Genomic DNA, 26,725 nt, shown 5'->3' with positions numbered 1-26,725 from the left:
GGGGGGTTGTTGAACATAGACTTGCATAGACCTGTAATATGTACTTGAATCAATTGATATAGCTCATAACTTACATTTGTCTTAGCAGATGGTAGAAGGTGTTTCTATCTACAGAATCTATAATCTTGTCTCAAAATGATTTCCCAAATGTTTTCAGACTTACCTCAGGGCAAACAGCTCATTTCCCTCAACTTCATCTCTCTCTTCCTGCTTATCCCAAAGTCACAAGTCTAGATCAGCAGTAAGCAGCAGGTAGCCCAGAAAAGGCCACACTCAGCCAAATCTGGTGACCTTTAGCTGAATATAGATGCGCCTTGACTTACAATGGGGTTACATCTGGCAGAGCTGAAAAGTTGAGCAGCGTACGGATGTGTTTTGCTTTTGTGCCATTGTAAAGTTGGAAAATCTTGAGTCTAACCGTTGTAAATTGGGGACCATGTATACTTTAGTAGTTGAGTCTGGTGGGTAGAGAATTTATCAGTTGCTTTGCTTTGCAACTATTATGCAGTTCTAAACTCAGATTGGTTTGGTGTAAGAACTTTTTTGAGTTGGATTTGCTATTTTTGAAAATTATTTTGAAAATTGTATTGGATTATGATATAGTCAAGTATTCAGATCTTAAATGTTCAGCCAGGCTGGGTGCGGTGGCTCACGCTTGTAATCCTGGCACTTTGGGAGGCTGAGGAGGGCAGATCACTTGAGGTCAGGAGTTGGAGACCAGCCTGGCCAACACAGCAAAACCCCGTCTCTACTAAAAATACAAAAAATTAGCAGGGCGTGGTGGTGCACGCCTGAAATCCCAGCTACTCAGGAGGCTAAGGCACGAGAATTGCTTGAACCTAGAAGGTAAAGGTTGCAGTGAGCTGAGATTGTGTCACTGCACTCCAGCCTGGGTGACAGAGTAAGACTCTGTCTCAAAAGAATAAAAAATAAATGTTTAGCTGGATAAATTTTTACTTACACCCATGAAACCATCAACATGATGAAGATAGAGAACATTTCCAGCTCCCCAGGAGTATTTTTCATTCTCCTGGAGTTAGTACCCTCCCATCCCAGAGGCGACCATTATTCTGACTTCTATTGCTATACCATACTTTTGCCCGTTCTAGACCGTCAGATAAATGGTATTATATGTATATCTTCTGTGTCCAGCTCTTTTTAAAAGTTGGAACATACACTTTACTATCTCATAAATCTATTCCTTTTATTTTCAGAAGAATAAACTTTTTATTTATTTATTTATTTATTTTTAGTAGAGACGGGGTTTCGCCATGTTGGCCAGGCTGGTCTGTATCTCCTGACCTCAAGTGATCCGTCTGCCTCAGCCTCCCAAAGTGCTGGGATTACAGGCGTGAGCCACCGTGCCCAGACTACTTTTTTATTTTTTACTTTGTAACTTGTTATTTAGATTCAGGAGTACATCTGCAAGGTAAACTGCATGTTCTGAGGGTTTGATGTACAGATAATTTTGTCACCCAGGTAATAAGCGTAGTACCTGATAGGTCTTTTTTCTGATCCTTTCCCTCCTTCCACCCTCCACCATCAAGTAGGCCCCAGTGTCTGTTGTTCCTCTCCTAGTATCCATGTGTTCTTGTTATTTAGCTCCTACTTACAAGTGAGAACATGTGGTATTTGGTTTTCGGTTCCTGTGATGGTTTGCTTAGGATAATGGCCTCCAGTTCCATCCATGTTGCTGCAAAGTACATGGTCTCATTCTTTTTTTAATGGCTGCATAACAATTCATGGTGTATATGTACGATATTTTCTTTATCCCGTTTGCCGCTGATGGGTATCTAGGGTGATTTAATGTCTTTGCTGTTGTGAATAGCAGTGCAATGAAAGTAAGTATGCATGTGTCTTTATGGGAGAACTGCCGAGACCAGCTCTGTCAGGGAGACCCTAACCCAGCGGTGCTAGAGGAATTAAAGACACACACACAGAAATATAGAGGTGTGAAGTGGGAAATCAGGGGTCTCACAGCCTTCAGAGCTGAGAGCCCCGAACAGAGATTTGCCCACATGTTTATTAACAGCAAGCCAGTCATTAGCATTGTTTCTATAGGTATTAAATTAATTAAAAGTGTCCCTTATGGGAAATGAAGGGATGGGCCAAATTAAAGGAATTGGTTGGGCTAGTTAACTGCAGCAGGAGCATGTCTTTAAGGCACAGATCGCTCATGCTGTTGTTTGTGGCTTAAGAATGCCTTTAAGCGGGGCCAGGTGTTCCTTGCCCTCATTCCGGTAAACCCACAACCTTCCAGCGTGAGCATTAGGGCCATTATGAACATGTTATAGTGCTGCAGAGATTTTGTTTATAGCCAGTTTTGGGGCCAGTTTATAGCCAGATTTCGGGGGGGCTTGCTCCCAACATGTCTCCCTTCTTTGATTTGCAAAGAGATATAAAAGCAAAGGCAGCTTTGTCATGGTGAGCTACTTCTCGCAGGAGTCAGGATCCGCATCTGCAGACTATACAAAGACAAATAACATAGATTAAAAGCACAATCATCATTGAAATCACAGAGCTTCCAAGTGTTTTTATCCATTTTAATGGGTTACTAGCTGCTAATTTGTCTGCAGCTCCTTTAAGCACTCCAGTTCCTGGCATTAAGGTCAGGTGTGCCTGGGATGCTTTAAATATTTGTTCTTTTAATTTTGCAATATCCAAAGACAAGTTTGTAGGGTGTCCTTCTAGATGCTTTTTTATTCTTTCCCAAATTTTGATCTTATTAAGAGCATTTAATAGTTTCCACAAATCCTTATGTTAAGCTCCTAGAGCAGGCCATATCATTTGAGGTTGAGGTGCCACTATACTGCTGTGGTTCCAGATAATAGGAGCTCTTGCCATACTTCTTATCATTTCTACCATCTGACCGTTTTGTTCAGATCACCTGAACATAGTGTGACCGTGGCACACAGACTGAGAGGTGCAGTTCAAGCTAAACATCCCCTTAGGGGACCAATCAATAATGATTCCATAGGAATCATTGTGCCGCACCTCTGCCTGTTCTGCAGTGCAATCTTCCTAAACAAATATGTTCATTATTTCTGGCCAGGTCCAGTCCTTCTTAGAAATAGGTTTTTGAGGGTAGTATGCCTCAATAATAGGAGCAGATTTATTATGGTAAATACTGAGATCAGAAAGCATATGTAACTGTGTCAGAGTGATTACATCTAGGCATTATTGCCAGCCAAGATTGATGAATATGCCTAATAAGTATAATTGTTCTCTGTGTCAGCCCTTATTGAAGGAATACTCAAGGCAGTGGTGATAACCACTATCATAGCTACCTTTAAATTATTCATTGTGACTGGTTGTCCCGCTTTCCTCAGGTTTTCTTCTGCCGTCTGTGACAGCTTCTTGATCTGTCCCCAGGTGGGTGGCTCTGTTCGGGTGTTGCTCATGACAGTTGGGATCCTCCTCAGCGTCCGTCTCGACATGGCTGCAATCAGGGGGCCCTCGGGATGCTCCCGGGTCTCTTACTCGGCATCTGGCTCATCTGATAAGGTTTCAGGTGTCTTGATGGTATCCAAATCGGCTGTTGATTTTTGCCTGGAGAAACACAAGCATAACCTCTACCCCAAATTATTATTTTACCTATTTACTAACTTTTTGTAATCGGATCTCTCCACCAAATCAGTTGTTCTGCTTCTGTCTTTGCAGCTGGTTTCTGTAGATGCTGTTCAGCTGCTGATAACATCTGGCCTTTGGGCAGGCTCAAAAAATTTAAAGTTAATAATGCTAGGTTCAGTTGCATCTGTGGGGTTCCATATTCTCTGTCTCCTTTCTGCTTTTGCAACTGCTGTTTTAGGGAGAGATTCATTCTTTCCACTATGGCTTGTCCTTGAGAATTGTATGGGATACCAGTAATGTGTTTGATATTCCACATAGAGAAAAATGTAGCTAGAGCTTGGCTAGTATAGCCTGGGGCATTACCTAATTGTTTTAATAGAAGTTGGAATGCCCATCACCGCAAAACACTGCACAAGATGATGTTTAACACAGGCAGAAGACTCTCCTGATTGGCATGTAGCCCAGACAAAGTGAGAAAAGGTGTCCACACATACATGTACATAAGCTAGTCTCCCAAATGAGGGAATATGTGTGACATCCATTTGCCAAAGAGAGTTAGGTTCCAATCCCCGATGATTAACTCCTCCTGTAAAAGATGAGGACTGTACCATTTGGTAAGTTGGGCATCGCTGGATAATAGCTTTAGCTTCTTTCCAGGTAATGCTGTATCTGCGTTTGAGACCAGAGGCATTAACATGGGTTAAATCATGAAAGTGTCTAGCATTAAATAATTGCATTAGCAACTAGGCGATCAGCCATTTGATTCCTTTCAAAGGTCCTGGAAAAGGTGTATGAGCCCTAATGTGGGTGATGTAAAAAGGATGCATTCTATTAACTGCTGTTTGCAGTTGAGTAAATAAAGTCATCAGTTGTTCATCTGCATGAAATTGTAACTGAGCATTTTCAATTAACTGTGTGGAATGAACCACGTATGAAGAATGCTTAGCAGGCTGCAGGTTGTTTACTGCAGGAATTGTAAATGTAAACCGTTCACAGTCTTGCTCAGCTAAGGGGATGGTAAAGAAACAGTCTTTTTAATCTATGACTATTAAAGGCTCTGTCGCCCAGGCTGGAGTGCAGTGGCACGATCTCGGCTCACTGCAAGCTCTGCCTCCCGGGTTCCCGCCATTCTCCTATCTCAGTCTCCCAAGTAGCTGGGACTACAGGCTCCCGCCACCACACCCAGCTAATTTTTGTATTTTTAGTAGAGATGGGGTTTCACCATGTTAGCCAGGATGGTCTCAATCTCCTGACCTCGTGATCCGCCCACCTCGGCCTCCCCAAAGTGCTGGGATTACAAGCATGAGTCACCACACCTGGCTGCTTTCTTTCCTTTTAAAGAGACTATTTTAATTGATTTTGATCACCTCTACTCAAAACTATCCTAAGGTCCACATTAGGATTAGTCTCTAATAATCTGAAGATATAATTCAATTGTTTAAAAGAACATATTAAGAAGACTTTGGTAGAATTACATGTATCAAGAAACACTGGACTTGGGCACAATGGAGATATGGCTGACTTTTGAAAAAAGAAGTAGTTTTTTGGGGGAGGGCAGGGCAAAGAGGTAGGAAGTAGTTGGTACTATAAGGAAATGTTAGAGACTATTTTGGAAATGTATTCATTATTTTAAGGCAACTAACAAATGGTCATCTTTCTGTTAGGACATTGTAGCAGCAGCCTTTACTGGTCATGAAATTTGCATGATATCTAAAATTATACTTCTGTAAATAGGTCAGTGTCGATTAATAGTAACTTTGTATAGAAAAGCAGATGCCAGCTGGCATAGAAGTGGCAGTGTAGATGCTGGTAGTTCTGGAGTCCTGGAAGCTATGAGATGCCATACATCACAAGGCCATCACAGCCAGGTAGATAAATGGCTGAGGAAAGCAGCGGAGCTGGCCGTGCCAGCATTTACAAATGGAACACTTCTTGGGCAGCCAGGTGTCATGGGGCACAGACCCACAGTTCTCTTTGCACACATCATGCTCACAGTTCCGTCCATAGAAGGAGAGGGGGCAGGCACAGAAGGACCCCAGCATGCAGGTTCCCCCATTCAGACAGCAGGTTCTGTTTAGTTCCTTACTGTCCTGTATCTCCCTGGGCGGCACAAGTTGGGAAGACCGAGGATGAATTGCAGGCTCCTCCTGGGGCTGAATGCTGTCATCTCTGAAGGCCAGGTCTCCCTGAGATGGACGCGCAAGTTCCTGATGGCCCAACCCTTAACGACCTTTTTTGACTTTTTGATGATAGCCATTCTGCCTGCTGTGAGATGGTATTTTGTTGTGGTTTTGATTTGCATTTCTCTAATCATTAATGATCTTGAGCATGTTTTCATATGCTTGTTGGCCACATGTATGTCTTTTTTTTTTTTTTTTTTGATTCAGTCTTGCTCTGTCGCCAAGCTGGAGTGTTCAAGCAATTCTCCTGCCTCAGCCTCCTGAGTAGCTGGGACTACAGGCACGCACCACCACGCCTGGCTAATTTTTTGTATTTTTAGTAGAGGTAGGGTTTCACTATGTTGGCTAGGTTGGTCTCGAACTCCTGACCTCAAGTGATCCGCCCGCCTCCGCTACCCAAAGTGCTGGGATTACAGGCATGAGCCACGACCACGCCCAGCCTGTCTTTTGAAAAGTGTCTGTTCATGTTTTTTGTCTACTTTTCAATGGGGTTGTTTGATTTTTTTTTTTTTAACAGTAAAGTGGAAGCAAGTTTATTAAGAAAGTAAAGGAATAAAAGAATGGCTACACCACAGAACAGCTAGGTGGTTTGTTTTTTACTTGTAAATTTAAGTTCCTTATAGATTCTGGATATTAGACCTTTGTTGGGTGCGCAGTTTGCATATATTTTCTTCCATCTGCAGGATGTTTGTTTACTCTGTTGATAGTTTCTTTTGCTGTGCAATAGCTCCTTAGTTTAATTAGATCTCATTTGTCAATTTTTGTTTTTGTTGCAGTTGCTTTTGGCGTCTTCACCATGAAATCTTAGACAAGTCCTATGTCTAAAATGGTATTTCCTAGGTTGTCTTTCGAGTTTTTATAGTTAGGGGTTTTACATTTAAGTCTTGAATCCATCTTGAGTTGATTTTTGTATGTGGTGTTAGGTGGGGGTCCAGTTTCTATCATCTGCATATGGTCACCCAGTTATCCTGGCACTTTTTATTGACTGGGGAGTCCTTTTTCCCATTGCTTGTTTTTGTCAGCTTTGTTGAGTATCAAATAGTTGTAGGTGTGTGACCTTACTTCTGTGCTGTCTATTCTGTTTGATTGGTCTATGTGTCTGTTTTTGTACCAGTACCATGCTGTTTTGGTTATTGTACCCCTGTAGCATAGTTTGAAGTCCAGTAACATGATGCCTCCAGCTTTGTTCTTTTTGCTTAGGATTGCCTTGTCTGTTTGGGCTCTTTTTTTGGTTCCATGTGAATTTTAAAACATTTTTTCCTAATTCCGTGAAGAATGTCATTGGTAGTTTGATAGGAATAGCATTGAATCTGTAGATTGCTTTGGGCAGTATGGCCATTTAACAGTATTGATTCTTCCTATCCATGAGCATGGAATGCATTTCCACTTGTTTGTGTCATCTCTGATTTCTTTGAGCAGCGTTTTGTAATTCTTGTTGTAGAGATCTTTCACCTCCCTGGTTAGCTGTATTCCTAGGTATTTTATTCTTTTTGTGGCAATTGTAACTCACACTTTTAAAATAAAATGTGTGCTTTTTGTACAAAAAAATCTCATATCGCTGTCATGGAGCTTCCTTGGTTCATCTTTTACTGCGTGTGTTCCATTGTGTGTGCACTCAGTCCTGTGTGTGCTTGTCCACGCCCCCACCCTGTATATATATGTACGTATATATAGATGAGTCTTTTTTTAACTCTTGAGATAAACCTGCAAACATGTTCCTATCACCTCTAAATACTCTCATGTGTATTTCCCATGCACAAGGATACTTGTACATAACCAACATACAACACTCCAAATTAGGAGATGAGCATTGATTAAACACTATATCCAGTCCACAGACTCCATTGAAGTTTTGCCAGCTTTCTCAGCTGTGTCCGTTTCCTTTCTGGCCTGAGATCCTTTCCAGGAGTATGTGTTCATTTGAGCTGTCATGTCTTGAGTCTGAAACTGTTTATCAGTTCTTCTTTCATTTCCTTTGCAGTTTTAAAGCATATAGCCACAGCCTTCAGTTCTGCATATTCTGCAGAGTGACTCTTCAACTTGAGTCTGTCTAATGGTTCCTCATGACTGGGTCCAGTCATGCATTCTTCGTCTTTATTTTTGGTACCAGTTTTATTGACATATAATTCATATACCACACAATTCACTCATTTAAAGTGTGTAATTTGATGGTTTTAGATGTATTCACCGTAAGTTTTGCAACCATCACCACAGTCAATTTTAGAACATTTTCATTGCCTCAAAAAGAAACCCTATACTCTTTCATTTGTGTTCTATTGTAACTGGCTTCTTTCACTTAACATTGTTTTCAAGGCTCATCCGTGCTATAGCATGTCAGTACTTCCTTCTCATTGTTGAATCATACTCCGTTGTATGGCTGTGCCTCATTTTATTTTATTTTATTCTTTATTTGAGATGGAGTCTCGCTCTGCCGCCCAGGCTGGAGTACAGTGGTGTGATCTCAGCTCACTGCAACCTCCTCCTCCCGGGTTTGAGTGATTCTTCTACCTCAGTCTCCCCAGTCGCTGGTACTACAGGCATGCGCCATCAAGCCTGGCTAATTTTTGTATTTTTAGTAGAGACAGGTTTCACCATGTTGACCAGGCTGGTCTCGAACCCCTGACCTCAGGTGATCTGCCAGCCTTGGCCTCCCCAAAGTGCTGGGATTACCGTATGAGCCACCACGCCTGGCCTCATTTTGTTTATTCATCCATCATTTGATGGACATTTGGGTTGTTTGCACCTTGAAGTTGCGTAATACTGCTAAAAAAGAACATTTGTGTACAAGTTTTTTGTTGTTGTGTTTTTGTTTTTGTTTTGAGATGGAGTTTCACTCTTGTTGCCCAGGCTGGACTGCAGTGGCACGATCTCGGCTCACCGCAACTTCCGCCTCCCGGGTTCCAGCAATTCTCCTGCCTCAGCCTCCCGAGTAGCTGGGTTTACAGGCATGAGCCACCACATCTGTACTGGACATATTTTTTCACTATTCTTCGGTATAGACCTAGGAATAGAATTGCTGGATATGGTAACTTCATATTTATCCTTTTGAGAACCTAAAGGTTATCTAAAGTCGCTGCACCATTTACATTTCTACCAACAGTGTATGAGGGTTCTGATTTCTCACCATACCCTTTAACACTTGGCTATTATTTGTCATTTTTACGATAACCATTCCGGTAGGTATGAAGTGGTATCTCACAGTGGTTTTGGTTTGCATTTTCTAATGACTAATGATGTTGAGCATCTTTTCATGGTGTATTAACCATTCATTTGTCTGAGAAATGTCTATTCAAGTCTTTTGCCTATTTTTTTATTGAGATGTCTTTTTTGTTTAATTCGAGGTAAAATTCACATGACATAAAACTAACCCTTTTAATGTGAACAATTCATGACATTTAGTATATTCCTTTTTTTTTTTTTTAAACGAGACAGAGTCTCACTCTGTCGCCCAGGCTGGAGTGGAGTGGCACAATCTCAGCTCATTGCAATCTCTGCCTCCCAGGTTCAAATGATTCTCCAGCCTCAGCTTCTGAGTAGCTGGGACTACAGGTGCGCACCACGCCCAGCTAATTTTCATAGATTTAGTAGAGACGGGGTTTCACCATGTTGGCCAAGCAGGTCTTGAACTCCTGGACTCAAGGGATCTGCCCGCCTTGGCCTCCCAAAGTGCTGGGATTACAGGCATGAGCCACCATGCCTGGCCAAAGTTTTTTTTAAAGTATTTTTTCTTTTCCTTTTACTTTTAGTTGATACATAATTGTTCATATTTATGGGATACTGAGTGATATATTTTGATACATGTATACAACATGTAAGAATCAAATCAGGGTAATTAGCATATCCATCACCTCAAACATTTATCGTTTCTTTGCATTGTGAACATTCAACACCCTTTCTTCTAGCATTTTGAAAATATACACTGAATTGTAGTTAACCATATTCACTCAACAGTGCTACAGAACACCAGAATTTATTCCTTTCATCATTATATTGATAGCCATCCTAGTGAGTATGAAGTGATGTATCATTGGGGCTTTGATTTATGTTTCCTTAATGACTAATGATGTTCAGCATCTTTTCCTGTGCTTTTTGGCCATTTGTATATCTTCTTTGGACAAACATCTCATCAAGTCTTTTGCATATTTTTTAATTGGGTTGTCTTTTTGTTTGTGAGTTGCAAGTTTTTTTTATTATGGATACTAGACACTTTAATTAGATGTGATTTGCAAACATTTTTCCCACTATGTAAGTTGTCTTTTCATTTTCTTCATAGTGTCCTTTGAAACACAACAGTTAATTTTGATGATTTCTAATTTATCTATTTTTTTCTTGTCGGTTGTGCTTTTGATGTTATATCTAAGAAATTGCCAGATCTGAGGTCACAAAGATGTATGTGTGTTTTCTTCTAGTTTTATAGTTTTATCTCTTACATTTAGGTATTTGGTCAGTGTTTACATATGGTATGAGGTAGCAGTCCAACTTCTTTGTATTACATGTGGATATCCACTTGTCCCAGCTACTTTTGTTAAAAAGACTATTCCTTCCCTGTTGATTTGTTTCAGAAATAAGTTTGACAGTAAATGTGAGGTTTTATTTCTGGATTTTCGGTTGATTTATATGTCTGTCTGTACTCTAGTACTAGTCTTTCTGAATGTTACTTGGTAGGAATTTTTGAGATTAAGAAGTGTGAGTCCTCTAATTTTGTTCTTTTTCAAGATTTTTGTTGTTGTTGTTATTCTGGGTCTCTTGAGTTTCCATACAAATTTTAGATCGGGTTCTAATATGTGCAAAGTCAGGTGGTATTCTGTTAAAGATTGCATTGACTCCATAGATCAATTTGAGAGTACTGCCGTCTTTAAAATATTATATCTCCCAGTCCATGAAAGTGGGATATCCTTCCATTTATATAGATTTTCTTGTATTTCTTAATATGTTTTATAGTTTTCAGAAAAAAGTCTTTAACATAGCTATTTACACATATACACATGTGCATATACACAAAACTCCTATATAATATCCTGGTTATAGTTAATGTTATGTAAGTATTGCAGTTAATACTGTTGTTACTAATCTTTTTATATGTCTTTAACACTTTGGGGGAAGTGGGTTGAAATAGAAAAATAGTTAATAGAAAAGTATTTAACAGGGGGCTGGGCATGGTGGCTCACGCCTGTAATTCCAGCACTTTGGGAGGCTGAGGCAGACGGATCATGAGGTCAGGAGATCAAGACCATCCTGGCTAACACAGTAAAACCCCGTCTCTACTAAAAATACAAAAAAAAAATTTAGCTGGTGTGGTGGCGGGCGCCTACTCGGGAGGCTGAGGCAGGAGAATGGTGTGAGCCCGGGAGGTGGGGCTTGCAGTGAGCCGAGATCGCGCCACTGCACTCCAGCCTGGGCAACAGAGCAAGACTCTGTCTCAAAAAAAAAAAAAAAAAAAATTAACATTCATCAAGACTCTTTGATGTAAGAAAGGCTGAAATTACTGGTACTTTATTCTTTAGTAGAGATAATATGTAAAAAGCATCAAGTATATGGCCAAATGTAAATAAGCAGGAAACTATATGTATAACATGATCCCTGTTTTGTAAAATGTGCATCTATTCCTTAATTGACATGCATGGGAAAAATCAGAAGGAAATGCATCAGAAAATTAACTGTTTATTCCTGGCTAGAAGGATTTGATTATTTATAATTTTTCAATTATTCCATGTTCTGCTTTGAACGTGTATGTATGTGAACATGTACGCATGAAGAAATATTAAAGTTGCTGGATTAAAAAATTTTTTTTTCTTAAGTTTTCTGTAGAGTGGGTCTTACTATATTGTTTAGGCTGGTCTTAAACTCCTGGTCTCAAGCTGTCCTCCTACCTCAGCCTCTCAAAGTGCTGGGATTATAGACATGAGCCACCATGCTCAGCGAAAGTTGCTGTTTTTATTTTATTTACTCACTTATTTATTTATTTTGAGATGGAGTCTCACTCTGTTGCCCAGGCTGGGGTGCAGTGGTCTAGTCTTGGCTCACTGCAACCTCTGCCTCCTGGTTCAAGCGATTCTCCTGCCTCAGCCTCCTGAGTAGCTGGGATTACAGGCAATGCACAAAAACGCCCAGCTAGTTTTTGTATTTTTAGTAGAGACAGGGTTTCACCATGTTGGCCAGGCTGGTCTCGAACTCTGGACTCAAGTGATCCGCATGCTTCAGTCTCCCAAAGTGCTTGTAAGCATGAGCCACTGTGCCCAGGTGAAAGTTACTGTTTTTAAATAGTGTAGTAAGCATGTAGAGATGTTAGACAACTGATTTAGTTTATTTATCTGAGGCTTTTTTCTTTTTCTTTTTTTTCTTTTCTTTTTTTTTGAGATGGAGTCTCGCTCTGTTGCCCAGGCTGGAGTGCAGTGGCGTGATCTCGGCTCACTGCAGCCTCCACCTCCTGGGTTCAAGCAATTCTCCTGCCTCAGCCTCCTGAGTAGCTGGGACTACAGGTGCACACCACCATGCCTGGCTAATTTTTGTATTTTTAGTAGAGATGGGGTTTCACTATGTTGGGCAGGCTTGTCTTGAACTCCTGACCTCAGGTGATCTTCCTGCCTCACCCTCCCAAAGTGCTAGGATTACAGGCGTGAGCCACTGCACCCGGCCAAGGCTTTTTTTCTTTGTGTAAAATGTTAATTATTTCTCTTGCCTACTTTATAAACACATTGTATAAAGACATTTTAAAAATATATCTATAGTTTGGAAGTTGTGAAGCCCTGTGGAAATATCTGAAGGGGCACACACTGCTGTTCAGAAATCTGAGAAATCATCCTTATCCCTAGGTAAAACTTAACAGCTGCTGGGTTCTTTTTAGATTCATGGTGTTGTTTTAATAGTATTGAGGGCCCACATTTTAAAGATATTTTTAGGCCGGGTGTGATGGCTCACGCCTGTATTCCCAGCACTTTGGGAGGCCGAGGCGAGCGGATCACGAGGTCAGGAGATCAAGACCATCCTGGCTAACATGGTGAAACCCCGTCTCTACTAAAAATTAGAAAAAATTAGCCGGGCGTGGTGGCGGGCACCTGTAGTCCCGGCTACTTGGGAGGCTGAGGCAGGAGAATGGCGTGAACTCGGGAGAGGTAGCTTGCAGTGAGCCGAGATCGCGCCACTGTACTCCAGCCTGGGCGACAGAGCGAGACGCCATCTCAAAAAACAAACAAACAAAAAAAAACCATATTTTTAGGATTTAACATTTATCTTCACAATTTTTTAAAGCTACTCTTCTGCTACTTACTTACTGGGATTTAAAACAGTGTCTAATAGCATTATTCAATGATTTTTCCACCAGGCACGGATGGGCAGAAGCCTTTGCAGGTATCAGAAGTTCACATATCAAATATATCTGCCCGCATGCGTGAGTATTTCTGATCTTCAGGCTTGTGATTCAGAGTCTGGAGAGGAGCAATTGTGATTGCTTTACCCTTCCAGAAAAGTATTTGAATACAGTTAATTTTTACTTTTTAAATATTGTTTAAAAATAAAGATTAGTAGAATTCCTTAAAACTAAAATGGTTTCTTAGGTAAATTGATTTTTTTCTTTTTCTCTTTCGTTAAGCAATTTAAAATATTGCTGTCTTGGAGGTCAGCTGAACTTAAGACCAGAAAAATTATTTTATTTATTTATTTATTTATTTATTTATTTTTGAGACAGAGTCTCACTCTGCCACCCAGGCTGGAGTGCAGTGGCGTGATCTCGGCTCACTGCAACCTCCACCTCCTGGGTTCAAGCGATTCTCCTGCCTCAGCCTCCAGAGTAGCTGGGATTACAGGTACGTGCCACCACGCCCAGCTAATTTTTGTATGTTTAGTAGAGGCAGGGTTTCACCATGTTGGCCAGGCTATTCTCAAATGCCTGACCTCAAGTGATCGACCTGCCTTGGCCTCCCAGAAAAATTATCTTAGATATACAAATATCTATAAAGTTCTAGGATATCCCTAGGGTATCTCTGAAGGGGATTTACCTGTTAGATTTGTGAGAACTCTTTATTACGTTGAAAACACTCTTTAATTTTATCGTTTGGGGCAATGTTGATGTACTGTGGAAAGAGCACAGACTTTGGAATATGATAGGTATTGTTTTGAATTCTGGCTCTGAAAGTTTTGAGCAAACTTAGAAGATCAATAAGATTGGCACATTAGGTCAAGCTTGTCCAACCTGTGGCCCAGGTCAGTTTGAATGCAGCCCAATGCAAATTAGTAAACTTTCTTAAAACATTATGAGATTTTTTTTTTTGCGATTTTTAAATATTATTTTATTTTTTACCTCATCAGCTATTGTTAGTGTTAATGTATTTTTATGTGTGGCCCAAGACAATTCTTCTTCCAATGTAGCCCAGGGAAACCAAATGATTGGACACCCTTGATTTAGGTCAAAAAGTTGCTGAGAAGCAATAACCATGGAGAAGACAAGAAGGGATTGGACATACTCATGTCAGTTAGTAATTCATCCCCAGAAGTGGTAGTAGCAGTAGAGTTGGGACAGATACATAAACATGAAAGAGGGAATGGGAAGAAGAATAACAGCTGAGAAGATTGGATAAGAAAACATTTCTTCCTCTTTTTATCCTGAAATACAGTCTGTCTTACCTCTAGGCTACAGTGAATACTGTGGCTAGGGTTGCTATGTCCTCTATCATTCTGCTCAAGCAAGAGACAGAATTCTTTTTATTCTTTTTCTTTTTTTTTGAGATGGAGTCTCTCTCTGTTGCCCAAGATGGAGTGCAGTGGCATAATCCTGGTTTACTGCAACCTCTGCCTCCCGGGTTCATGCGTTTCTCCTGCCTCAGCCTCCCAAGTAGCTGGAATTACAGGCGCCTGCCACCATGCCTGGGCTAATTTTTTGTATTTTTAATAGAGACATGGTTTCACCATGTTGGCCGGGCTGGTCTCAAACTCCTGATCTCAGGTGATCCGCCCGCCTCGGCCTCCCAAAGTGCTGGGATTACAGGCGTGACCCACCCCGCCCGGCCCAGAATTCTTAATTACGTTGGAATGGATATTGATATTTGCCCCAAGTTGAACTGCTTTAAAAGGCTGTTGCCCAACCTAGGAAGTTTGTATTTTCAAAGAAATTTTGATACAGTTTGTAACCTCTAAGGTGGACTTACTTCATGAATCAGGAGGAAAGTGGTGAGATGTAGTTAGAGTGTGCTTATTTTTCTTTCCTTTGGATGGAGCTGAATTCAGATTATCTAGCATATTTTTAATCACAGACTTGAATTGGCTATAATGGACACTTAGGCAAATTTTGGATTTCCCTTATTTATTTAGAGGTCTCTTAAGCAAGTACATAGCTAAGAACTAGAAAATTAGGAAAAGTGTAATCTGAGCATATGAGAATTGATGCTACAGTATCAGTGTAATAAATCACTCATTGTCCTTAGCCCTATACCGGAATCTCGTGTTTTATACATTTCCAACTGTCTTGGTTTCTGGTTTCTCTTCTCGTGTCTGAGAAGTCAAAAGTAGTAAGTAAGGGTGTTGAGAAGGGAAAATGTATCTGTCAAGCTTCGTCCTTTGTTGCTGTTGCTCTGTCTTCAGAACACATTTGGAGGGGCGTGGAAAGCAGAGTTGTACAGGTGTGGATGAAATAAAACAGTTCATATGTTAAAACTGTAGCATATAGTTTTGTGTAGGTCTCAAGCAATTATCTGTTTTTGATTAATGGAATTTATCAGTTTTTATGCTTTGTTATTCTGATTTTGTTGTTTTTTCTTTTCCATGTAGGCCTGTTAGGCCTGTTACATTAAATATGAACGTGGCTATGCCTTCATGGTAAGTAAGAATTTACTTATTGAATAAGAACATTATATTACTTATTTAATGTTATCAGAAATGCTTTTGTGTACAGCAGTTTTTATTTAGCTGTTTTTTAAATTGCAAAGTTGCATAGTTAACCTCTATTTACATTTTCATACTCTGGATTTAGGGGTAAACTTAAGGAGCTGTACATACAGGTAGAGGAAATAGGAGAGAGTGTTTGAATAAAAATCATGTGGGAGAATATCTTCTGCTGCTTGATAAACCTTTGTTGGTTTTAGTAACCCAACATTCGAATGACCCCTATTAAACCACAGCCTCTTCATCTTTCCAATTTCTTGCCTGTCTGGGTTGTTTTTAAGGAAACCGCTTCCCTTCCAGCCCTCTGAAGATATCCTCACATTCCCTCTGCACTTTACTGTCAGAAAGTAGGGTCAGTTTTTTGTTCCTATGTGCTACTTCCAGACTATGATTTTTCCTAACTGTTCTCTGAGACTCCTAACATCAGGTCTGTTAAAAAACGATGACTTTAGCCGGGCATGGTGGCTCACACCTATAATCCCAACACTTTGGGAGGCAGAGGCAGGCTGATCAACTGAGGTCAGGAGTTCAGGACCAGCCTGGCCAACACAGTGAAACCCCATGTCTACTAAAAATACAAAAATTAGCCGGGTGTGGTGGCATGCACCTGTAGTACCAGCTACTCAGGAGGCTGACACAGGAGAATTGCTTGAACCTGGGAGGGGGAGGCTGCAGTGAGCAGAGATCATGCCACTGCACTTCAGCCTGAGCAACAGAGTGAGACTTCGTCTCAAAAAATAAATAAATAAATAAATAAATAAATAAATAAATAGTGAGACTTCGTCTCAAAAAATAAATTAATTAAATAGATAAATTAAATAAAATAAAACATATTTCTGGTTAGCCTTTTAATCCAAGCTACCATGAATGTAGTAAAATATACTTACTACAATAATAGATTTTTCTTAGAATCAAAAGATTTTGCCTTATTTTACAGGTTTGATATTATTGGGCTTTCACCAGATTCACAGGAGGATGAATCTGGGATTAAACAGGCAGCAGAAAATAGTAAGTACAGAAAATGTTTATAAAGCCAAAAGTGTTCTTAAATGTTTTTAGTAGATTTAGTAATCATATCGCTACTGGTTAAAAATTACACATTTGGGCCGGGCACGGTGGCTCACGCCTGTAATCCCAGTACTTTGGGAAGTAGAGGCGGGTGGGTCACCTGAAGGTCAGGAGTTCAAGACCAGCTTGGCCAGCATGGTGAAACCCCATCTCTACTGAAAATACAAAAAATTAGCTGGATATGGTGGTGGGCGCCTGTAATCCCAGCCACTTGAGAGGATGAAGCAGGATAGTTGCTTGAACCTGGGAGGTGGAGGTTGCAGTGAGCTGAGATCGCCCCACTGCGCTCCAGCCTGGGCAACCAGAGCAAAACTTCATCTCAGAAAAACAAAAACAAAAACAAACCAAAAAAAACCACATTTATCTAATCTCAGGAGGTACTGCTGTTTCCTTCCTTTTACCCCCTGCCCCCCAGAGAGGGTCTTGCTGTGTCACCTAGCCTGGAATGCAGTGGCGTGATCAAAGCTCACTGCAGCCTTGACCTCCTGAACTCAAGCGACCCTTCCACCTCATCCTCCTGAGTAGGCTGGGACCATGGAGGCGCACACCACCATGCCCCGCCAGGTTTTAATTTTTTCTTTTTGTAGACACAGGGTCTCCCTGTGTTGCCCAGGCTTGTTTTCCTTTCTGGTCACTCTGTTACTTGTTTGCCACAGTGTCCGCATGGACTCACTTGAGTATAGGCAATGGAGATGAGGTGGATGGGGACAAATGGCATTTATCAACTTTAAACTCTGTCAGACGTATAATAATTTTTCTTTGATTTACATAGGAAAATGGAGAAAACAGCAGAATGTTTATATAGTTTTGGCCGGCCGGGCGTGGTGGCTCACGCCTTTAATCCCAGCACTTTGGGAAGCCGAGGTGGGCAGATCATGTGAGGTCAGGAGTTCGAGACCAGCCTGGCTAACCTAGTGAAACCCCGTTTCTACTAAAAATTAAAAAATTAGCTGGGCGTGGTCACGCACGCCTGTAATTCCAGCTACTTGGGAGGCCGAGGCAGGAGAATCGCTTGAACCCAGGAGGCAGAGGTTTCAGTGAGCCGAGATTGCGCCATTGCACTCAGGCTTGGGCAACAAGAATGAAACTCTGTCTCAAAAAAAAAAATAGTTTTGGCCAGTTATCTTCATTAAAGAGACTTGGAATAACAGTGAAAATAATGATATAATGAGTATAATGATAAGAAACAGTGAAAATGTGGTCAAGTGCGGTGGCTCACGCCTGTAACCCCAGCACTTTGAGAGGCCGAGGCAGGCAGATCACCTGAGGTCAGGAGTTTGAGACCAGCCTGGCCAACATGGTGAAACCCCGTCTCTACTAAAAATACAAAAAAATTAGCCAGGCGTGGTGGCGGGCACCTGTAATCCCAGTTACTCAGGAGGCTGAGGCAGGAGAATCGCTTGAACCCAGTAGGTGGAGGTTGCAGTGAGCTGAGGTTGTGCCATTGCACTCCAGCCTGGGTGACAGAGGGAGACTGTGTCTCAAAAAAAAAAAAAAAAAAAAAGGAAGAAAAAAGTTGTTAATGTTAGTGCGGTAATAATAACACGTGCCACTGATTGAGCACATAACTGTTTACAAGCTAGGTGTTTCTTACAGGGCACCTCATTTGACACCGCTGTGAAGTATTAGCTCTGCTTTACAAAACCTCGAAAGCCTGGTCTCTGGTTAGGAGTCCATCTCCTTTATGATTATGGTAATTCTAGTTGTTCGGAGGGAGAAACAGAATACTAACTTACTGGGACGTGTCTATTTTTAACAAATGCACAGGAGGCCGGGCACGGTGGCTCACACCTGTAATCCCAGCACTTTGGGAGGCTGAGGCAGGCGGATCGCCTGAGGTCGAGAGTTCGAGATCAGGCTGACCAACATGGAGAAACCCCGTCTCTATTATAAATACAAAATTAGCCGGGCATGGTAGCGCCTGCCCGTAATCCCAGCTACTTGGGAGGCTGAGCCAGGAGAATTGTTTGAACCTGGGAGGCAGAGGCTACAGTGAGCTGAGATCCCACTGTTGCACTCCAGCCTGGGCAACAAGAGTGAAACTCCGTCTCAGGAAAAAAAGAAAGAAAGAAATGCACAGGTGCACAGGAATGTGCTTTTCTTTTACATATGTGTACTGAAATATTGACAAGTATAATAATGTGAGGACTGGGATTGCCTTCAGGAAAATCTGGTTGGTGACTCTTGAGTGTGGGTGGGTGTAGGTGGGTGTGGGCAGCAATGGCAAGGCAGGCTGGCTGTGAATTGTTTTGCTTTTTGGTAATTTTTTATTTACATAGTTACTTAGAGACTGTCGCCCAGGTTAGAGTACAGTTGGTGATCATATCTCACTGCAGCCTCAAATTCCTGGTCTCCAGCAACTCTCCCGCCTCAGCTTCTGAGTAGCTGGGACTACAGGCATGTGCCACCATGCCTGGCTAATTTTTAAACTGTTTTGTAGAGATGAATTCTCATTATGTTGTCCAGGCTGGTGGGAAACTCTTGCCCTCAGGTGATCCTCCCCAAAAGTACTGGGATTACAGGCATGAGCCACTGAGCGCAGCCCTTTTGTTTTAAAAGAACTCTTTAAGGTCTTTAAAACAGGGAAAATGGCCGGGCGCGGTGGCTCACGCCTGTAATCCCAGCACTTTGGGAGGCCGAGGCGGGTGGATCATGAGGTCAGGAGATCGAGACCATCCTGGCTAACAAGGTGAAACCCCGTCTCTACTAAAAATACAAAAAATTAGCCGGGCGCGGTGGCGGGCGCCTGTAGTCCCAGCTACTCGGGAGGCTGAGGCAGGAGAATGGCGTGAACCCGGGAAGCGGAGCTTGCAGTGAGCCGAGATTGCGCCACTGCAGTCCGCAGTCCGGCCTGGGCAACAGAGCGAGACTCCGTCTCAAAAAAAAAAAAAAAACAGGGAAAATACATTCAAAAGATGTGAGATATTTGGGAATGTCAAACCAACAACACTGACTTATGGGATCATTAAAAAGTAGATTAGAGTTAGAATCCTAGAGTTGGGATTTTGTCTGAAAATAATAGATGACAAAAGTATGAGGGTAAGTGTTAGATGCTATGGAAAACAGGGAGGGCCTGGGCCCTGTGAAGAAGATACGTGGGCCTCATGAGGTCCAGAATGAAAGATTCTGTCCTAACAATAGAGTTGGCCTATGAAATACTTGTTACTTCTTTCCTCTCTGAAAATTCCTCTCAGAGAAAATTAGAATCAGACTCAGCCAGGAAAGAAAAAACAAAAGAGAATGTGCTACTGAACAAAGAAGACAGTGCTCAGGTTACATAGTTGGGGGTACATAGTGCCCTTACCCTTAGGTGAAAGGTGATTGAGGCCAAGGGATGTTGCTCATACCTGTAATCCTAGCACTTTGAGAGGCTGAGGCAGGAGGATCACTTGAGCCCAGGGGTTCAAAACCAGCCTGGGCAAGAGTCGCTACAAAAAAAAAAACAAAATTAGCTGGGCGTGGTGGCGCATGTCTGTGGCCCCCTCAGCTGCTTGAGAGTCTGAGGTGGGAGGATTGCTTGAGCCTGAGAGGTCAGCAACAGAGTGAGACCCTGTTTTGAGAGAGAGAGAGAGAGAGACAGAGACAGAGACACAGAGAGAGAGTGTGAGCGAGCAAAAGAGATTTATTCTGGTTTTTTTTTGTTTGTTTTTGAGATGGAGTCTTGCTCTCTTGCTCAGGCTGGAGTGCAGTGGCGCAATCTCAGCTCACTGCAACCTCCACCTCCTGGGTTCAAGTTATTCTCCTGTCTCAGCCTCCCAAGTAGCTAGGACTACAGGCCTGTGCCACCATGCCCGGCTACGTTTTGTATTTTTAGTACAGACGGTGTTTCACCATGTTGGCCAGGCTGGTCTCAAACTCCTGGCCTCAAGTTGATCTGCTGGCCTCAGCCTTCCAAAGTGCTGGGATTACAGGCGTGAGCCACTGTGCCTGGCCAATTCTGTGATTTTTTTTAAAAAACAATAGAATGAATGGTTTTAAACACTTTTTAAACCATTAACTTAACTACGTACAACACTTAACTACGTACAATTTTAAACACTTAACTACGTACAATTTTAAAATGACAACTTTTAGGTACAAATGCCTATGGTTCATTGAAGAGAGAAACATGGAATATATATGAGCAGAATTAACTATTAATTTTTTAAAAATCCATCTCTTGATGAGAGAAAGAACTGTTGTTAACAAAATATTTAATGGGAAATTATTGAAGTTTTAATTAAAATTTTATTTTTTTATTTTCAATTTTTGTGAGTACATAGGTGTACATATTTATATGTACGTGAGATGTTTTGATACAGGGATGCAATGTGAAATAAGCACATCATGGAGAATGGGGTGTCCATCCCCTCAAGCGTTTATCCTTTGAGTTACAAAGAATCCATTTACACTCTTGTAAGTTATTTTAAAATGTACACTAAGTTACTATTGACTATAGTCACCCTATTGTACTGTCAAATGGTAGGTCTTATTCTATTTTTTTTGTACCCATTAACTAGCTACACCTCACCTCCAGCCCCCTTCTACCCTTCCAGCCTCTGATAACCATACTTCTACTACTGTCTGTGTCTGTTAGTTCAGTTAGTTTTAGATCCCACAAAAAAGTGAGAACATGCAATGTTTGTCTTTCTGTGTCTGGCTTATTTCCCTTAACATAATGATCTCCAGTTCCACTTGTGTTGTTGCAAATGACTGGATCTCATTCTTTTTTTATGGCTGAATAGTACTTCATTGTGCATATGTACCACATTTTCTTCATCCAGTCATCTGTTGATGGACACATAGGTTACTTCCAAATCTTGGCTATTGGGAACAGTGCTACAACAAACATGGGAGTACAGATATCTCTTCAATATACTGATTTCCTTTCTTTTGGGTATATATCCCAAAAGATATATACCCAAATATAGTTAAAAGAAAGATACTTTCTTTTGAGTATATATCCAGTGGGATTGCTGGTTCATATGGTAGCTCAATTTTTAGTTATTTGAGGAACCTCCAAACTGTTCCCCATAGTAGTTGTACTAATTTACATTCCCACCAACAGTGTATGAGGGTTCTCTTTTCTCCACATCCTTGCCAGCATTTGCTATTAACTGTCTTTTGAATAAAAACCATTTTAACTGGGGTGAGACGATATTTCATTGTAGTTTTGATTTGCATTTTGCTGGCGATCAGTGATGTTGGGCACCTTTTCATATGCCTGTTTGCCATTTTTATGTCATCTTTTCGGAAATGTCTATTCAGATCTTTGGCCCGTTTTTTTTGTTCTTGTTTGTTTTGAGACAGAGTCTTGCTCTTTCGCCAGGCTGGGGTGCAGTGGTGCAATCTTGGCTCACTGCAACCTCCGTCTCCCGAGTTCAAGTGATTCTCCTGCCTCAGCCTCCCAAGTAGCTGCGACTACAGGTGCGCACCACCATGCCCAGCTAATTTTTTAATCTGTAGTAGATACGGGGTTTCACCACGTTGGGCAGGATGGTCTTGATCACTTGACCTCGTAACCCACCCTCCTCGGTCTCCCAAAGTGCTGGGATTGCAGGCATGAGCCACTGTGCCCGGCCTGGCCCATTTTTTGATCAGATTATTAGATTTTTTTCCTATAGAGTTGTTAAAGCTCCTTATATATTCTGGTTATTAATCCCTTCTCAGATGGGTAGTTTCCAAATATTTTCTCCCATTCTGTGGGTTGTCTCCTCACTTTGTTGATTGTATCCTTTGCTGTGCAGAAGCTTTTTAACTTGATGTGATCCCATTTGTCCATTTTTGCTTTGGTTGATATGCTTGTGGGGTATTTCTCAAGAAATTTTTGCCCAGACCAATGTCCTGGAGATTTTCCCCAATTTTTTCTCGTAGTAGTTTCATAGTTTGAGATCTTAGATTTAAGTGTTTATTGTGATTTGATTTTTGTATACAGCAAGAGATAGGGTCTAATTTTATTCTTCTGCATATGGATATCCAGTTTTCCCAGGACCATTTTTATTGAAGAGACTGTCTTTTCCCCAGTGTATGTTCTTGACACCTTTGTCAAAAATGAATTCACTGTAGGTGTGTGTGTATAGATTTGTTTCTGGGTTCTCTATTCTGTTCCTTTAGTCTGTGTGTCTGTTTTTATGCCAGTACCATGCAGTTTTGGTTACTATAGCTCTGTAGTATAATTTGAAGTAAAGTAATGTGATTCCTCTAGTTTTATTCTTTTTGCTTAGGGTAGCTTTGGCTACTCTGAGTCTTTCGTGATTCCATATAAATTTTAGGGGGCTAGGCACGGTGGCTCACGCCTGTAATCCTAGTACTTTGGGAGGCCGAGGCGGGCGGATCTCGAGTTCAGGAGATCGACCATCCTGGCTAACACGGTGAAACCTCGTCTCTACTAAAAATACAAAAAATTAGCCGGGCATGGTGGTGGGCACCCGTAGTCCCAGCTACTTGGGAGGCTGAGGCAGGAGAATGGCATGAATCCAGTAGGCGGAGCTTGCAGTGAGCCAAGATCACGCCACTGCACTCCAGCCTGGGTGACAGAGCGAGACTTTGTCTCAAAAAAAAAAAAAAAATAATTAGGATTGTTTTTCTATTTCTGTGAAGATTGTCATTGGTATTTTCATAGAGATTGCATTGAATCTGTAGATTGCTTTGGGTGATTTGGGAAAAATATTCCATGGTCATGGATTAGAAGAATTCATGAACAATAACAATCAATATTGTTATTGGTTCTTCTTATCCATGACCATGGAATCTTTTTTCCATTTTTTGGTGTCCTCTTTCATCAGTGTTTTATAGTTTTCATTATAGAGACCGTTCACTTCTTTGTTTAATTCCTAGGTATTTAATTTTATGTGTGACTATCGGAAATTTGATTTTTTTAAAATTTCCTTTTCACGTTGTTCTCCGTTGGCATATGAAAATACATTCTAATTTTGTATTTTAATGAAGTGCTTTGAATTTTTCACTCATTTCCACCTTAAAAGTAATTGCGCTTTTCTATTACTAATTTTTTCCTAATTTAAATTTTATCAGTGGGCTTAACTCTGAAAGTATTGCTGACTAACTTTCATGTTGTTTTTAGTAAAAGCTTTGATTGATCAAGAAGTGAAGAATGGCATTCCTTCTAACAGAATTATTTTGGGAGGGTTTTCTCAGGTAAGATAAAATTTGAGTGGAATGTCAGTACCATCAGTATACTTATTTAGAAGTCTGTGCATTAATCCTTTCTATAGAGTAGTCTTTTTTGATGTTATAGAATCTTGACTGATACACTTACCTTTGATGTTTAATTAAGTTTCAGTGTACTGGAACTAATTAATTTCTTCTTGAAAGAACTATAATACACATGTACACATGTAATTAAATTTCTAAGTTAACACAGTTTATCCTTTTAATTAATTAAAACTGATAACACAGGCATGAGTCCCCTCTATAGGAGGAGACTACTGATAGGAACAGTAAAGTGGAAGACAAGAGAATTTCTTCCCTTTACCTTCACGTATTACAGGTTTTAGGTATGAATATGTGGTGTTTATTTTTGGCATTTTTCTTTGTCTCTGTACTTTTTCCCCTGCTTTCTGTACTCCCTCCACAGACGTAGCTTCCTCATACGGACCTTTCTTTCATGGCTACTGCGGCATATAAGCTGTTTGCCATGGAACCAGTCCCCAGATGCTCTAACTTATCATCTGTAAATCTTCTAAGTTAGCAACTTAGTGTTTGGATTACCTTAATTAGGGAGATGTTTGGATTACCTTAATTAGGGAGATGTCAGAATTCTGAAATTATTTAGAAGATAGAATTCAGTAGAAAGATTTGTTGATACAATATAGTGAAAAGGTGTTACTGATTTGGTGTTTGTTGAAATTCACAGATAATGTATATTGTAATACACATTGTGACATAAACATAGGGACAGAAATTAATGATCCAGGCCAGGCACGGTGGCTCACGCCTGTAATCCCAGCACTTTGGGAGGCCAAGGTGGGTGGATCACTTGAGGTCAGGAGTTCGAGACCAGCCCAGCCAACATGGTGAAACCCTGTCTCTACTAAAAATACAAAAATTAGCCGGGCATAGTGGTGCACGCCTCTGTAACTCCAGCTACTCCGGAGGCTGAAGCAGGAAAATCACTTGAACCCAGGAGCCAGAGGTTGCAGTGAGCCAAGATCGCACCACTATACTCCAGCCTGGGCAACAGAGCTGAGACTCTGTCTCAAAAATAATAATAATAATGATCCAGAATAACAAGTTCATGTGGGAGTCTGTATATTTGATATTCATTCATTACAGTATATAGAAACCAACTCAATACCTCAAGCAAGGAGTAAGCAATGAGTCTGTGGCATCCTATCAAGGAAACTGAGGAGGAAAATGAGGCAAGGCCTCAGGAAGTAGCTAGAAATTGAAAAGCAGTTGGGCCTTGCTCACCATCTCTCATCTCTTGTTTCTTTGCTTGTCTGTTTCATTTACCTTTCCATAAACAATTGGCCATCTTGGCTTTTGCAGCCTATAGCTTTTCCAGCTCTTGAATTTACATGTTACAGGTGTAGCCACACAGAGAGTGACTGGTGGTCATCGAATCCCATTTCCACAGTGCCAGGAGAAAACATCACTGCCTGGGATGTGAAAGGCTCTCGTGTACTCATGTGTTGCAGTAACCCATGGGCATGGTCAGAGTGATGGGGCTTCTGGATGCTGGCAGGAGTACAGCTTCCAGAATGTGGGATGTTGTGAGCTGGGTAGGCAGATACTCTGAAGGTGTCTGCTAAATAGTTATTATTATCTTAAATTCTCATTTAGAAAGTAATACCAATTTAAGGGCCAGGCACGGTGGCTCACACCTGTAATCCCAACACTTTGGGAGGCTGAGGCGCGTGGATCACCTGAGGTCGGGAGTTTGAGACCAGCCTAACCAACATGGAGAAACCCCGTCTCTACCAAAAATACAAAATTAGCCGGGTGTGGTGGTGCATGCCTGTAATCCCAGCTACTCGGGAGGCTGAGGCAGGAGAATCGCTTGAACTCAGGAGGCGGAGGTTGTGGTGAGCCAAGATTGCACCATTACTCTCCAGCCTGGGCAACAAGAGTGAAACTCCATCTCAAAAAAAAAAAAAAAAGTAATACCAATTTAAGAGCAGATTGGATTTTATGCCTAAAATTCTGCAAAGGAGAAAATATAAATTCAGAATATTCGTAAGGCATGTTGTAAGTGCAGCAGTTTCCCATGGTACAAACTATGTCTCGTCGGAAAGGAAGTCTGTATGTTCTCTGGTGTAGAGAACCGCATCCTTTAGGACACGGTGGGGTGTGTTTGTATTTCCGATATTTGCCTGATTTGATTTGACACCAGCCACCAAGTTTGATTTTTTTATGGATATCATTAGTAACAAGATATTCCCTAAATTGCTGTGGGCAAGCATGTGTGTTCCATTGACTTTCCCTGCTTGTCTTTTCAGGGAGGAGCTTTATCTTTATATACTGCCCTTACCACACAGCAGAAACTGGCAGGTGTCACTGCACTCAGTTGCTGGCTTCCACTTCGGGCTTCCTTTCCACAGGTAACTTGGTTGATGCACTCAACATGAGATTACTGAGCTAAAGGTAGCTAGTAGATATTGTTGGAGATAAAGTCATCTTATTTTTTTTTATTAATAAACTTTATTTTTTGGAGAAGTTCTAAATTCACAGCAAAACTGAGCAGAAGGTACAGAGTTACTATCTACCTCCTGTCCCCACACATGCACAGCCTCCCCACCATCAGCATCCCCACCTCCACAGCCATGTTTTTGCTGCAGTCAGTAATGCTGCACTGACACATCACCATCACCAAGTCCTCCACTTACAGCACTCATCCTTTTTTAAAAATAATTTTCTTAGACTTTTGTGATGTATTACTAGGCCTTATTTCTGTACGCTATACTGTCTGTATTGTGGAGTACATAGAATGGAATTAGAAAGAAACCTTATTGTCACAAATCTTATATTAGAAGGATTTGATACATTTTAGGATATATATGAAAATTAGGACTTTTTTTAACATATAGAAATCATAC

At 41.1% G+C, this 26,725-nt stretch overlaps 2 protein-coding genes and 1 pseudogene across 13 annotated transcripts in view, besides 1 other annotated feature; 2 read left to right on the top strand and 1 right to left on the bottom strand.

Annotated features, from left to right (window-relative positions):
• Positions 1-26,725, top strand: part of LYPLA1-TCEA1 (LYPLA1-TCEA1 readthrough) — a 135,392-nt gene that overhangs the window by 23,063 nt on the left and 85,604 nt on the right. For 3 of the 4 annotated variants that reach the window (NM_001425839.1, NM_001425842.1, NM_001425840.1), the window contains exons 3-7: positions 13,072-13,137; positions 15,510-15,557; positions 16,561-16,631; positions 23,752-23,825; positions 26,129-26,230. The exons of the other annotated variant lie outside the window; for it this stretch is intronic. In NM_001425839.1, coding sequence (NP_001412768.1) covers positions 13,072-13,137; positions 15,510-15,557; positions 16,561-16,631; positions 23,752-23,825; positions 26,129-26,230 — 361 coding nt within the window. The remainder of the gene's footprint in view (positions 1-13,071; positions 13,138-15,509; positions 15,558-16,560; positions 16,632-23,751; positions 23,826-26,128; positions 26,231-26,725) is intronic. 4 annotated transcript variants of the gene reach the window in all.
• LYPLA1 (lysophospholipase 1) overlaps positions 1-26,725 on the top strand; it is a 58,961-nt gene that overhangs the window by 23,063 nt on the left and 9,173 nt on the right. For 6 of the 9 annotated variants that reach the window (NR_189621.1, NR_189622.1, NM_001425837.1 and 3 more), the window contains exons 3-7: positions 13,072-13,137; positions 15,510-15,557; positions 16,561-16,631; positions 23,752-23,825; positions 26,129-26,230. Coding sequence is in view for 7 of the 9 variants with exons in the window: in NM_001425837.1 (NP_001412766.1) it covers positions 13,072-13,137; positions 15,510-15,557; positions 16,561-16,631; positions 23,752-23,825; positions 26,129-26,230 (361 nt within the window). In the remaining 2 variants the exon portion in view is untranslated. The remainder of the gene's footprint in view (positions 1-13,071; positions 13,138-15,509; positions 15,558-16,560; positions 16,632-23,751; positions 23,826-26,128; positions 26,231-26,725) is intronic. The other 3 variants (NM_001279359.2, NM_001279357.2, NM_001279356.2) reach the window with 3 other exon arrangements.
• On the bottom strand, positions 4,892-5,792 carry CRIPTOP5 (CRIPTO pseudogene 5; annotated as a pseudogene).
• Positions 7,569-7,668: an enhancer, noted in NCBI's record as "active region_27370". NCBI's record gives its function as "activates an Ori minimal core promoter by ATAC-STARR-seq in GM12878 lymphoblastoid cells {active_cell/tissue: GM12878}" and the evidence as "EXISTENCE:reporter gene assay evidence [ECO:0000049][PMID:35858748]".

This window comes from Homo sapiens, chromosome 8 (assembly GCF_000001405.40).
Source record: "Homo sapiens chromosome 8, GRCh38.p14 Primary Assembly".
Lineage (NCBI taxonomy): Eukaryota > Metazoa > Chordata > Mammalia > Primates > Hominidae > Homo > Homo sapiens.
The sequence above is the reverse complement of the archived record's forward strand: the minus strand, read 5'-3'. Positions and strand labels throughout refer to the sequence as shown.